Source organism: Homo sapiens, chromosome 17 (assembly GCF_000001405.40).
Source record: "Homo sapiens chromosome 17, GRCh38.p14 Primary Assembly".
Classification (NCBI taxonomy): Eukaryota; Metazoa; Chordata; class Mammalia; order Primates; family Hominidae; genus Homo; species Homo sapiens.
The window spans coordinates 18225297-18237342 of NC_000017.11; the positions used below are offsets into that span (position 1 = coordinate 18225297).

Consider the following 12046-nt stretch of genomic DNA (forward strand, 5'->3'; position numbering starts at 1 on the left):
CCTCCAAGCCCGGGAACGTGCGCCAATCCCCCTCCAAAGCGCTTCCCCAGCCGCCCGCGCTGGAGCCCCGGCTCATGGACTACAAGTCCCGGCAGGCCCCGCGCCGCGGCGCATGCTAGGCGGGCGTCCCTTCGCGAGCCCGGCCGAGCCCGGGGGCCCAGTTCACCATTGTCTGGCCAACAGGGGCGGGGCGGGCGGCACGGCGGGCTCGCTCACTGGTCGGGCGGCGCGTCCGTCGCGCCCGGCGCCCACCCCCGTGCAGGCCCGGCCCCGCGCGCCCGCGCCCGGGCCGCCTGGCGCCCCGCCCGCGCCTTAGGACCCGCGGGGCCGCGCGGCGCATCCTGCGGGCGGCGGCGGCGGGCGAGGCGCCTGCAGCCGGGCGCAAGATGATGAAGTTTCGGTTCCGGCGGCAGGGCGCCGACCCGCAGCGCGAGAAGCTCAAGCAGGAGCTTTTCGCCTTCAACAAGGTGCGGCGGCGGCCCGGGCCCGGGCTCGGGCGGGAGGGGGCGGGACGGGGGCCTGGGCTGGGGGCCCGGGGTCGGAGCCACGTCGGGCCCGGGGGGCGGGGGCTGGCATGCAGCGCGGCGCGGGGCGGGGCCGGGCCGGGCCGCGCACCCCCTCGGCGGGCCCCGCTCTGGCTCGGACTCTGGGTGGGTCTGGGTCTCCGGCCGACTTTCCGTGTCTGCTCCCCGAGTCTCTGCGGGCCGCTCTGGCCCTGGCTCTGCCAGTCTGTGTGTGTGGGGGTCTGTCTCTGAGACTCTTTGCCTGTCTCTGGGTCTCTGTCCCTCTTTCTCCGCCGCTGACCGGCTGTCTCGCCCCAGTTGTGCCTGTGTGTGTGGTGGGGGTGTCTCTGCCTCTGCCCCTTCCTATCTCTGCCTGTCTCCCTTTATCTCTCTGCCTCTCATTTCTCTTGCTGCCTGTGCGTCTCTGAGTCTTCTTTGCCTGTCTCTCCCTGCGTGTCTCTCTCTCTGTCTCTGTGGAGTCTCTCGACCTCTGTCGCTCACTTCTGTCTCTTTATCCTTTTTCTTAGGGGCTCCATTGCGTCCCTGCTCGGCCCTTGGGACAGCCCTGGGGCCCGGTTTGTTTTGTGCTTTGGCACCCAGGAGGGTGAGAGAGTTAGTGGGGGCGAGGCAGCTGTGGGGGGTGCGGCTGGGAAATCCCTTCAAGGAGCCTCTCCTTCCTTCCCCCACTGCTCCAGGCTCTGCCTTGCCCTGCTCTGCCCTGCCCGGGGCTCCGAGTCCAGGGGACATGCCTGGCTGTGTACTACACTGCACTTCGCATCGTGGGGCCTCAGTTTCCCTAGCTGTGAAATGAGGCTACTTTTCTCCATACTGTGGGCCCTGGCTCCCTCTGCCACATGGGCCAGCTGTCCTGCCTTTCTGCACCAAGGTGGAGTGAGGTGGAGGCTTTTCCTTCCTTTCCCGGAGTGGGACACTAGGGGCCAGGGAAAGGGGCCGCCTCAGCCCCCGCCTCCCTCTGCACTGATGTTAGAGCAGGGCCTCAGCCCACTCCTGGCTCACTGCTCTGGGGACGTTGGTTTTGTCCTCATTCTTACCCCAGAGCCCACTGATGGCAGAGCCTCTCAGTGCTCTTCGAAATTAGAGTTATCTTCAAAATACAGGTGAGAAAATTGAGGTTCTGAGAGGGGTGACGGCTTGCCCGGAGTCAGAGTGAGCTGCACCAATATCTTTCTTGAGTTCTTGTGTCAGTGGGGTTGGATTTTAGCCTTGAGGGGCAGGGATTTTTCCAAGGGGCTGCTGTGGTCCTGGGCCAGTGTTGTGCCAGGCGCCCTGGGCTGCCTTGAGGAGACACTTGTCTTGGAGGAGGCTCTGGGACGGCTGGACCTGGAGTAGTGGAGGCACTGGGATGTCTCAGGGTTTCCCTGCCTAGGTCTGCAGTGATTGCCGATGAGAGCTGCCAGGACCCTCACACGGTGGCTGAGAACCTGCTAGGAACCTGAGAGGGGCCCAGAAGGGAAGCTGGTGCTCCGTGGTCCCCAGATGGCACCTATTTTCTGTGCCGGGGAGGCTGTGAGGGTGAGGTGAGAGGAGAATGGCCCTTCAGGGAAAGGCAGCAACAGGCACAGGGCTAAATGTCACTTTTTTTTTTTTGAAATGGGGTCTCACTCTCACCCAGGCTGGAGTGCAGTGGCACAATCACAGTCCACTGCAGCCTCACAACTCCCTGGCTCAGGTGATCCTCCCATCTCAGCCTCCTGAAGCTGGGACTACAGGCTCGTGTCACCATGCCCGGCTAGTTTTTGTATTTTTTGTAGAGATGGGGTTTCACCATGTTGCCCAGGCTGGTCTCGAACTCCTGGGTTCAAGCTATCTATCCATCCATGTTGGCTTCCCAAAGTGCTAGGATTACAGACATGAGCTGCCATGCCTGGCCTAAATGTCATTTCTTCAGCCAGTGAATTGGGGTGTGCAGTGGGGGCTGGAGACAGATGGGGGTGAAGCTCAGCCCACTCTGGCTAGCCTTGGGGTGGCGGAAAGTAAGGGCCCTCCGCTGAGGATGAAGCGTGGGCAGCAGTGGTGGAAAGTGGGGTGGTCTTGGGGAAGGGACTTAGTCACCTAAGTGGGTAATAGGTGATCGCTAGGGAATAGGCCCCTGATTCCTGAGCTTAGGGGGTGGGAGACAGGTCAGGAGTGAGCAGGGACTTTGGACTCTGAGTCTTGGGTTCAAATCCCAGTCCAGCCCACACATCGCCTGTGGAATGTGCCTTCTCTGTTAATACTGAGCCCCACTGTGTGTGAGGTCTCCAAGGTGCTGGGGACAACAGTAGTTACCAAAAAGGACAAATACCTGTTAACTCAGGTGGCTGATATAGTTGTGCAGGAGACAGTGAAAAGCCAAAACAAAAAAGTAAAATAGACTGTAGTTGGGATGGTAGCCAGTGCTGTGGATCAAATAAAGTAGGGCGAGGGGGTGAGAGGTGTGGCCAGGGCGGCTGCTGCAGCCAGGGTGGCCTTGGGAGGCTTCTCTGAGGAGATTACTCCTGAGCGACAGGAAGTGCTGGAGGAAGTGCGTTCCAGGCAGAGGGGCAGTAGGTGCAAAGGCCCTGAGGCACAAGCCTCCCTTAGCTGGGAGCCCCAGGAGGATCCTGAGCAGGGGAGGGACAAGGATCTGGCTGTGGCTTTCATAGGATCCCTCTGGCCTCTGTGGGAACAGACTGTAGTGAGTACCAATCCAGGCACGTGACGGTGGGGCCTGGAGCAGGGAGGGAGGTGACTTCTGTGTGTTTTGAAACTGAGTTGATGGGGCTCAGAAATGGACTGGACGTGGGGTATGAGGGAAGCAGATGCTGGACAGTGCATGTAACCTCCTTTCCTCGTTTGTAAAATGGGAAGGCTGTGGGGATTTGCGATGCAGTGTCCCGTCTCTGGACCCTGGTTGTAGCGAGGGACTGGCTAGACAAGGTCAGGTGCAGCAAGGGCGTGGTATTATTGGTGGGAGAGAGAAGCCCCAGCCAAATCGCCAACTCTGTCCTTAGGTGGGCTTACTGTCCCAAGGGCCCAGATGAGAGACTGAAGCTTGGAGAGTACTGAGTCTTGGAGAGTACTGTGACTTGCCCAAGGCCAGACAGCTAGGCCGTGACCAAACCAGCTGCCCAGAGGGCTCAGTCCCCACCTGGATGGGCAGAGGCAGGCAGGGAGGGAGGTTCGCGTTACAGGCTGGGAACTGGGGTTTCTTACAAATGTGCATCTTCCTGAGGCAGTGGGTCAGGAATTACCAGTGGTAAAAGTGAAAAATAAATAACAACAACAAGATAAAAGGAGTTACCAGTGGCCCACGTGGGTGTCCTGCACTGGTGTTCAGGATGGGGCTGGAGCTCAGCTGTGCAGGCTTCCCAGGGAGGGCACAGCCAGGCCAAAGACAGGAGACTGGTGCAGAAAGGGTGTGCTGTGAAAGGGGCAGGGGAGCGGGTGGGGAGCTGTTTCATCGACACTCTGGGCACACAGACCCCCTTAACACCATCTCCGCCCCTGATGGTTATGGGAGTCATGTTGCCCAGCTGTTGGCAGGTGGGGAGGTGGGAGGATGCCTTCGGGGTCCAGGCAGAAAGCTACCCCTCTCTGGGCCTCTGTCTCCCTGTGTCTGGGAGGAGTCAAAAGCCTCTGCCTAGCTGATCCTGGATGTTGTCCCTTGACCTCTGACCTCCACTCAGGCCTGTGTTTGGGGAGTGTCATGGTCATCTTGCGGGACTCCTCCGCAAGCTTTAGTCTGTGCCTCTAAAAATGGGGTGCAGAGCCCTTCATGGAGCAGGTGGGGCCTCATCAGTGCCTGCACCTCTGTGAGCCTTGCTTCACCTGTTTGTTGCTGGAGCCTCCATGCAGTGGGGCCCACATGAGCCTGTGTGCATTGAGGGGCACAGGGGCTTGGCAAAGGGCGGGCCTCTGTGGACTATGCACGCGGTACAGTCATGGTGGAGGCTAGGGGTTTAGCCACCTCCCCACCAACTGGAGGCATGATAACCCATTTCACAGTTGAGGACGCTGAGGCACAGAGCAAGTAGACCTGCCTCCTACCCCCAGTGTGTCAGCTGCAGACCCTGGAGGCTGCCTTGGGGTGGGCCTCAGGGTGGGCCATGGCAGAGGTGCCTGGGAGTGCTTACCCCCAGCAGCCCTCCCCTCCTTGCAGACTGTGGAGCATGGCTTCCCCAATCAGCCCAGCGCCCTGGCCTTCGACCCGGAACTTCGCATCATGGCCATCGGCACCAGGTCTGGGGCTGTCAAGATGTATCCTTTGCAGGACAGGTGTTCAGGGTCTGTTCAGGACCACCTGCCTGTAGTTCCCTGTGCTCTGGGGTCCCAGTCTTGGCAGTGTCCAGCTCGAGAGGAGGACAGAGGTGCTCTGATGGGCAGTAGTGGGGGCTTCTGCGGAGGTTGGCGTGGCTTCTGTACCTGAGACAACTGTGCAGAGATGATGGGGTCCTTTTGCTGAGAGACGGGTGGTGGGGGGTCAGTTTGCAGTAGCACAGCTGTCCCTTGCTACGTGTCAGCCAGCCAGTTACCTAGGCGACCCTGCCATCGTCCCAGCAACTCTGGGGAGGCCAGGCAGAAGGCTGGGCTATGATACCCATGGAGGGTGGCAGGTGGGCTGGGGGCCCTGGTGAGCTGATGCACACATGTGTGAATGTGAAGACACATGTGTTCAGCAAAGGGGCCTGGGGGCAGTGCCAGGCTCGGCATGGTGAGCACAGCACGGCCCCCACCTGGATACTGGCTGCTGCACAATGGGCTGTGTGAGCCACACAAAGCGGGCATTTTCCCTGCAGGCCTGGGGTGGGGGTGGGGGCAGGCCGGCAGCTCAGTGTCTCCTTGCCAGCCCTGGAGAATCCCACCCCAACTGCTCTTGGGGAAGCCGAGGTGCCAGGGTCTGGCTGATGGCGGCTTGGTGAGGGGTGCTGACCCCTACCCCTCCTGTGTGGCCTTCTGGGTTTCAGTATCCTGGTTTCAGACATCAGTTCCCAGAAAATGTGTCAGTGCTGGGAAAGGGGAGGGTGTGGGATGGGGGTCTCCTCACCCCAGGACTGGGGGCACTGATCAGGCAGGGATGGGACTCTGAGCCTGTGGTTTGTGAGCTCTTTGCCTACTCTGGGGAGTGTGGATGGGCTGAGATGTCCCCTTCTCTCCCATGGCCCCAGCGGCCTCTGTTGGTGAGTGTGGCAGTGCTCTGGGCCCCACATGCTCCGCTGCCTGGCCTGCTGCTCCCACTCCTGTGGGTGCTGCGCTGCGTGCGCACATGTGTCCCTGCAGCCTTCAGGTGTCCCTCCTGTGTTGGGGTCTCCAGTGCACTTGTCCTCAGGCTCAAAAAGAACCTGAAGTGCAGATGAGGAGACTGAGCCTCAGAAAGGAGGCTGGAGCCCGGGGTCCTCTTCCCTTTTTCCCCTGACTGCCACTGCCTGGAGCCCCTTGGGTTGGGAAACTGAGGCTGGAGAGGGCCAGCCCTGGTCACTAGAAGCTGCCCCTCCCCCTGCCAGGCCAGCCCCATCTCCTTGACGACCCTGGTTCCCGCCCAGCTGCTCCTGTCCCCTCTTTTGTCCCTTCTTCGGAGTTTCTCGCCAGGCTCCTGTAGGGAATCTGAGCTCAAGCTCCAGGCAACGGCTCCTGTGTTGTCACCGGGGCAACGTTGCTGACTCCTCCCTGCACCCTCTGTCATGGGGCCCCCTCAGGCCCTGCTGTCCACCATCAGCCCTGGAGTTGCCGGGACTCAGGCACTGACACTGGGCACTTCAAGCAGGTCATCCACCCCCTCCAAGTCTGTGTGCTCATCTGTGAAATGGGCAGGCTGGAGTCTCTCCTCCCTCATGATGGCAGTTGTTGGCTGCCTGCTTTGGAGGGAGGTGGGTTTTTTTTGTTTTGTTTTGTTTTTTTGAGATGGAGTCTTGCTCTTTGTTGCCCAGGCTGGAGTGCAGTCGCACAGTTTTGGCTCACTGCAACCTTTGCCTCCCGGGTTCAAGCAGTTCTCTGCCTCAGCCTCCCAAATAGCTGGGATTACAGGTGCCTGCCAGCATGCCCGGCTAATTTTTGCGTTTTTAGTAGAGACGAGGTTTCACCATCTTGGCCAGGCTGGTCCTCAACTCCTGACCTTGTGATCTACCTGCCTCGGCCTCCCAAAGTGCTGGGATTACAGGAGCGAGCCACCGTGCCCAGAGGAGGTGGGTTTTCTTACCCATGGCTGAAGTTTGGCCTGAAGCTGTGGGAAAAGGCAGCCTGGACTCTTCTGCCCCCTGGCTTTCTTGTCCAGGCCTGGCCTTGCACCTCTGGCCTGCCTGATCCCATCCGGCAAGGCGCAGCTCCCAGAACCCATAGACACACGGAGCTGAAGTGGAGCGGAGCCCCATCCTCTCACCAGGCTGAGGCCAAGCCTGCTGGGTGTGTTTATTCTCACTTGATCTGCAACAGTCCTGTAAAGTGGGAGTCACTGGCCCAATTTACGGGAAGTGAAGGTCCTATAGCAGCACCTGACTTGCAGGAGTGAGTGGAGCCTGCACACTGATCTTGGGGATACTGTAGGGGTGCAGAGTGGGAGCTTTAGGGAGGGGGCCTCCGTTCTTCAGGGAGGACTCCTGGATGGTCAGGCCCATGCCGGGGCCCACTGGAATAGTCCGGGTCAAGGAGGAGCCTTGGGTGTCTTCCTCACTGTGGTTTGCTGGTCTATGCCTATTTCCACCTTGACCTGCCACCCTCAGCTATGGTGCACCTGGCGTGGAGTTCACAGGCCTGCACCGGGATGCAGCCACTGTCACACAGATGCACTTCTTGACCGGCCAGGTGAGCCTCTGCTTCCCACTAGCCAGCTCCCTGTGGCCCCCATATCTACTCATCCCCCTAGGCCAGCCTAGTTTTCATCTCTGCTCACACACCAGGGCCGCCTCCTGTCCCTGCTTGATGACAGCAGTCTGCATCTCTGGGAGATTGTCCACCATAATGGCTGTGCCCACCTGGAAGAAGCACTCAGTTTCCAGCTGCCCAGCCGGCCCGGCTTTGATGGTGCCAGGTACTGGAGAACTTGGCTGGGGCCAGCCACCGGGCAGGGAGGATCTGGGGGAGGCTGTGGGAACCTGCTGTGCAAAGGCAGCATGGAGATGGGCAGCGGTTCAGGGCGGGATGCCTTGAGCTGGGCCTGGGTCCCAGGCTGCAGCTGTTGGACCCTGCTTTACTGAGGTATACTCTGAACTTTTCAGGTTAAATGGGAGGTTTGGGTTGAGTCCGACGTGAGCAGGTAATTAACATTGTGAGCAGCAGGAGGTACATGCATTATATGCCAAACTTCTAGGACCTGAGGCCTGGCACTACACTTACTGCAATGATGGGGGTGTCTAGGGGTTTGGGGCAGGGCCTAAGCCAGTTAGTAACAGGAAGGGTCCCCTGGCCTCTTCAGTTGTGGGTGGGAGACAGGCCTTTCTGTGCATAGGCAGGGTTGAGGGCAAGGAGGGTCCCATGGGCTGTGCTTGGTAAGGCGCTGGCAGCATGCCCCAGCTGAGTGAGAGTGTGGGGCATCTCTCTCCCCAGCCCTGCCTGAAATAGCTGGAAAAGGGGAGTACCAACCCAGGGATGGATTCCTGATGCCTCCCAGCTTCTGCAGATGGGGGTATCTGGGGCCCTCCTGCGAAGTCAGGAGATGTCTGAGCGCTGGCAGCGGGATTCCTAGGAGGGGCTCAGCGGGGAGCTCCTGGTCCTGGCTTGGGCAGTGCCCTGGTTCCTGCTGTCCTCTCCTGGTGGGTGGGAGGAGCTGGGAGCCCAGTCTGCAAGACCTAGGGACCCTATTTTTATCCATCTCCCTGCTGACATCCTGATGAATAATTGAGCGGGCTGATGATGATGCATGTCTTCCTGGGGTGGCTCTGTAAGTAGGCCCTGGTGAGTGCTGTGGGGCCAGTGATGAGTTATCAGCAGTGGCCCAGCCCCTCACACCCCACCTGAGCAGGTGGATGGGCTTGTACCCTCACTCCCTTCCCCTTGTTCCCTGCAGTGCTCCGCTCAGCCTTACCCGAGTCACAGTGGTCCTGCTGGTGGCTGCCAGCGACATAGCAGCCCTGGGCACTGAGGGCAGCAGTGTCTTCTTCCTGGATGTTACCACCCTGACCCTGCTCGAGGGGCAGACGCTTGCCCCAGGCGAGGTTCTGCGCAGGTAAGAGGCCGGTGGGCTTCCCAGCACCCACTGTGTGCCCGGGAAGTTCTGCTGGCTCACCTGCCTTCCTCCACAGCGTGCCAGACGACTACCGCTGTGGGAAGGCACTGGGCCCCGTGGAGTCACTCCAGGGACACCTGCGGGACCCCACAAAGATTCTCATTGGCTACAGCCGGGGCCTGCTGGTCATCTGGAACCAGGCCTCGCAGTGTGTGGACCACATCTTCCTGGGGAACCAGGTATGTAGGTGAGGCCTGTGTCCCCTCAGCCTGGGCCCCTTGTGCATGCCCACCATGGCTCATGCCTGCCTGCCTGCCTGCCCCTGCCTGCCCGCAGCAGCTGGAGAGCCTATGCTGGGGGCGTGATAGCAGCACTGTGGTCAGCTCACACAGCGATGGCAGCTATGCTGTCTGGTCTGTGGATGCCGGCAGCTTCCCAACGCTGCAGCCCACGGTAGCCACCACACCTTACGGTGAGTGCTGGGGACACCTTAGCCAGAGGGTGGTGATGGGAGGGGGCACCACTGAGCCAAGCCAAACTGGCTGAGGAGGGACTTCCCCGAGGGGGTGGTCTGGGGGCAGTGTGTCTCCCGCCGACTTCCCGGGGAGGCAGGAGGCAGCTGTAAGGTAGAGAGCAGTGGAGGGCAGAGCAGGAATGGCAGAATTGCTAAGAACCACCAGTGAGTCTGGTCTGACGCTGTCCCACCCCTCAGGCCCCTTTCCCTGCAAGGCCATTAACAAGATTCTGTGGCGGAACTGTGAATCTGGGTAGGTCGAGGGAGTGGGTGTCCGATGTGAGTTGGGTCTGGCTAGGGGGCTGGAAGGGTGGGCTCTCCCTAGGTTGTGCAGTATGTGCTCTGGACCCAAGTGGTTCATGGCTCGCACACCTCCCTCTGCACATAGGGGCCACTTTATCATCTTCAGCGGTGGCATGCCCCGTGCCAGCTATGGTGACCGCCACTGTGTAAGTGTGCTTCGAGCCGAGACATTGGTGACGCTGGACTTCACTTCCCGCATCATCGACTTCTTCACAGTGCACAGCACACGGCCCGAGGATGGTGCGTGCCCTGCCGTACCCTACCCTTTCCCAGCCCCACCTGGTGCCCTCTGCCACCTATGGCTGTGCTCACCCCATACTCCCTCCGTCCCACAGAATTTGATGACCCCCAGGCCCTGGCTGTGCTGCTGGAAGAGGAGCTGGTGGTGCTGGACCTGCAGACTCCTGGCTGGCCAGCTGTGCCTGCCCCATACCTGGCCCCGCTGCACTCCTCTGCAATCACTTGCTCGGCCCACGTGGCCAGTGTCCCCGCCAAGCTGTGGGCCCGCATTGTGAGCGCTGGCGAGCAGCAGAGCCCCCAGCCTGTCTCCAGTGCCTTGGTGTGTGCGGCGATCAGGGGGGTCTTACAGGGTGGAGTCTTGAGGAGGGGGAGAGTTTCAGTTCTAAGCCCGGAGGTCAGAATGTGCCATACTCGGGGTGAGAGGGAGAAGATGTTCGTCCTAACCTTGTGCATACATCTCTGCCACCCCCTCCCAGAGCTGGCCCATCACTGGGGGCCGAAACCTGGCCCAGGAGCCGTCACAGCGAGGGCTGCTGCTGACGGGGTAGGTGTGCGTGCTTATGTGGGTGAGTGGGCCCCTTGCTGTTGGGGGAGAGCCCATCCTGGGCCTGGTGGGTGCAGAGGTGCCAGGAGACTCAGGCCTGGCCCCTGGTGGGACCAGGTAGTTCCTCCTTGCCCAAGGTGGTTTGGAATGAAACCTCCCTGGACCTTGGTTCAAGGTGCTGCCCTGATCTGCCTTTTGGCCTGGAACTGAGCTCTACCAAACCCCAGGGCTCCACCCGCCCAGCCTGCCTGCCCTGGGACTGGAAAATCTGGGCTGGCCCACGCTGAGCTGCCCAGGGAAGGTGCCAGAGAGCCCAGCGTGGGCCTGGCGGGCGCTGACGTGCCCAGTGACTCAGGTCTCAACTTCCTGCCCTGCCCCCACTCCCGCCTGTGCTGGGACCCTCAGGCCTCTGACTCTGGTGTGCCCTTCCCTGCTGAAGAGCTTGCCGTGGCTTTCAGGGCTGCTGGAATGAGTCTCAACCACCCCCACAGTCACACACCTCTCACGCCCTGGCTCTGGGCTTTCACCACCGCCTGGGGCCCTGCTTGGACTCTGCAGCTGTGTCCCAAGGCTGCGCCCTAGATTTGTCTACTCCTTCCCCTGCCCCCTCCCTGCTTTCTCCCGGCCTCTGTAGTCTTCCTGCTCCTCCACCTACGTGGCTGCCTTGGGCCCCATGCAGCTCCTCCCCCGGGATGCCCCATGCTCTGTTCTGTGACTGCCTTACTCTTGATCACCTCTGATGGCTGCTCCAGTGCAGGCAGAACCCCCAAAGTCCTCTGTTCTCTACATGTCCCCCTTTGCCACCTCCTGTTAATCAGGGTGGTCATTTCCACCTTGTTTGGTTTAAAGGCTCCAGGTGCATATGGTGCATGTGGCCTGGCCTATAACAGGTGCACAGTGTACCTGTGCTGTCTACAGTAGGTGCCTATTGTTTTTTGTAAAAGTAGGATTCCGGTCAGTGTTTGGCACGTGCAGTAGGTGCTTAGTGAGTGGTTATCAGATGAGTGAATGGAGGGGCGTGCAGGCCTCCCAGGAACTCGGGTAGCCCTGACATCTGCCCTCCCTGCAGCCATGAGGACGGCACCGTGAGGTTCTGGGATGCCTCGGGTGTGGCGCTGCGGCCGCTCTATAAGCTGAGCACAGCTGGCCTCTTCCAGACAGACTGTGAGCACGCTGACAGCCTGGCCCAGGCTGCCGAGGACGACTGGCCACCCTTCCGCAAGGTGGGCCCCTCCCCTGGCCCTGATGAGCTGGTCCTGACCCCGCCTGGACTCATTACTCCTTCCCATCCCTCTAGGTGGGCTGCTTCGATCCCTACAGTGACGATCCCCGGCTTGGCGTGCAGAAGGTTGCTCTCTGCAAGTATACAGCCCAGATGGTGGTGGCTGGCACTGCAGGCCAGGTAGGGCTGGGTGTCCCCTGGGTTGGAGATGTCAGGGAGGGCTTTCTGGAAGAGATGAGCTGGAGGGTCTGGTGGAAAGGGAGATGGACTGGCACAGGCAAAAGCCAAGGTGGGAATAGGGCTCTGGGTGGGGCTGGCTGGGGTGAGGACAGATGGGAAGTGGGCCTGTCGCTGGGGGAACCACAGTGTTGAGAGGAGGGAACTCATGTCAGTGCTGTGCTCCGGCACTCACATGACATACAGGAGGTGCTCAATGTGTCCTTATTGCTAAATGGGAGATAGAGGCTCAGGGTAAGGGTGGACACTTTGCCCTCAGAGGGCAGGGACTAGTGTGTCTTGGTCACCACTGTGTTCCTTGTGCTCAGCCAGGGCCTTGGTATACAGTAGGCATTCAGTGAGTGCT

At 60.5% G+C, this 12046-nt stretch overlaps 1 protein-coding gene across 16 annotated transcripts in view, besides 4 other annotated features; it reads left to right on the plus strand.

The window, feature by feature from the left end:
* Positions 1 to 480: a silencer, noted in NCBI's record as "silent region_8270". NCBI's record gives its function as "represses an Ori minimal core promoter by ATAC-STARR-seq in GM12878 lymphoblastoid cells {active_cell/tissue: GM12878}" and the evidence as "EXISTENCE:reporter gene assay evidence [ECO:0000049][PMID:35858748]".
* LLGL1 (LLGL scribble cell polarity complex component 1) overlaps positions 339 to 12046 on the plus strand; it is a 19241-nt gene continuing 7533 nt past the window's right edge. For 12 of the 16 annotated variants that reach the window (XM_011523854.3, XM_011523849.3, NM_004140.4 and 9 more), the window contains exons 1-13: positions 339 to 467; positions 4645 to 4742; positions 7199 to 7280; positions 7376 to 7506; positions 8482 to 8640; positions 8717 to 8879; positions 8977 to 9112; positions 9353 to 9407; positions 9543 to 9697; positions 9793 to 10016; positions 10174 to 10241; positions 11311 to 11464; positions 11539 to 11643. In XM_011523854.3, the coding sequence (XP_011522156.1) occupies positions 387 to 467; positions 4645 to 4742; positions 7199 to 7280; positions 7376 to 7506; positions 8482 to 8640; positions 8717 to 8879; positions 8977 to 9112; positions 9353 to 9407; positions 9543 to 9697; positions 9793 to 10016; positions 10174 to 10241; positions 11311 to 11464; positions 11539 to 11643 (1611 nt within the window). In that variant the 5' untranslated portion in view covers positions 339 to 386. The remainder of the gene's footprint in view (positions 468 to 4644; positions 4743 to 7198; positions 7281 to 7375; positions 7507 to 8481; positions 8641 to 8716; positions 8880 to 8976; positions 9113 to 9352; positions 9408 to 9542; positions 9698 to 9792; positions 10017 to 10173; positions 10242 to 11310; positions 11465 to 11538; positions 11644 to 12046) is intronic. The other 4 variants (XM_011523850.3, XM_047436002.1, XM_047436007.1 and 1 more) reach the window with 1 other exon arrangement.
* Positions 631 to 800: a silencer, noted in NCBI's record as "silent region_8271". NCBI's record gives its function as "represses an Ori minimal core promoter by ATAC-STARR-seq in GM12878 lymphoblastoid cells {active_cell/tissue: GM12878}" and the evidence as "EXISTENCE:reporter gene assay evidence [ECO:0000049][PMID:35858748]".
* Positions 5223 to 6058: an enhancer, noted in NCBI's record as "H3K27ac-H3K4me1 hESC enhancer chr17:18133833-18134668 (GRCh37/hg19 assembly coordinates)". NCBI's record gives its function as "activates a minimal SCP1, AML or CMV promoter by ChIP-STARR-seq in primed H9 embryonic stem cells {active_cell/tissue: H9 hESC(primed)}" and the evidence as "EXISTENCE:reporter gene assay evidence [ECO:0000049][PMID:30033119]".
* Positions 6059 to 6892: an enhancer, noted in NCBI's record as "H3K27ac-H3K4me1 hESC enhancer chr17:18134669-18135502 (GRCh37/hg19 assembly coordinates)". NCBI's record gives its function as "activates a minimal SCP1, AML or CMV promoter by ChIP-STARR-seq in primed H9 embryonic stem cells {active_cell/tissue: H9 hESC(primed)}" and the evidence as "EXISTENCE:reporter gene assay evidence [ECO:0000049][PMID:30033119]".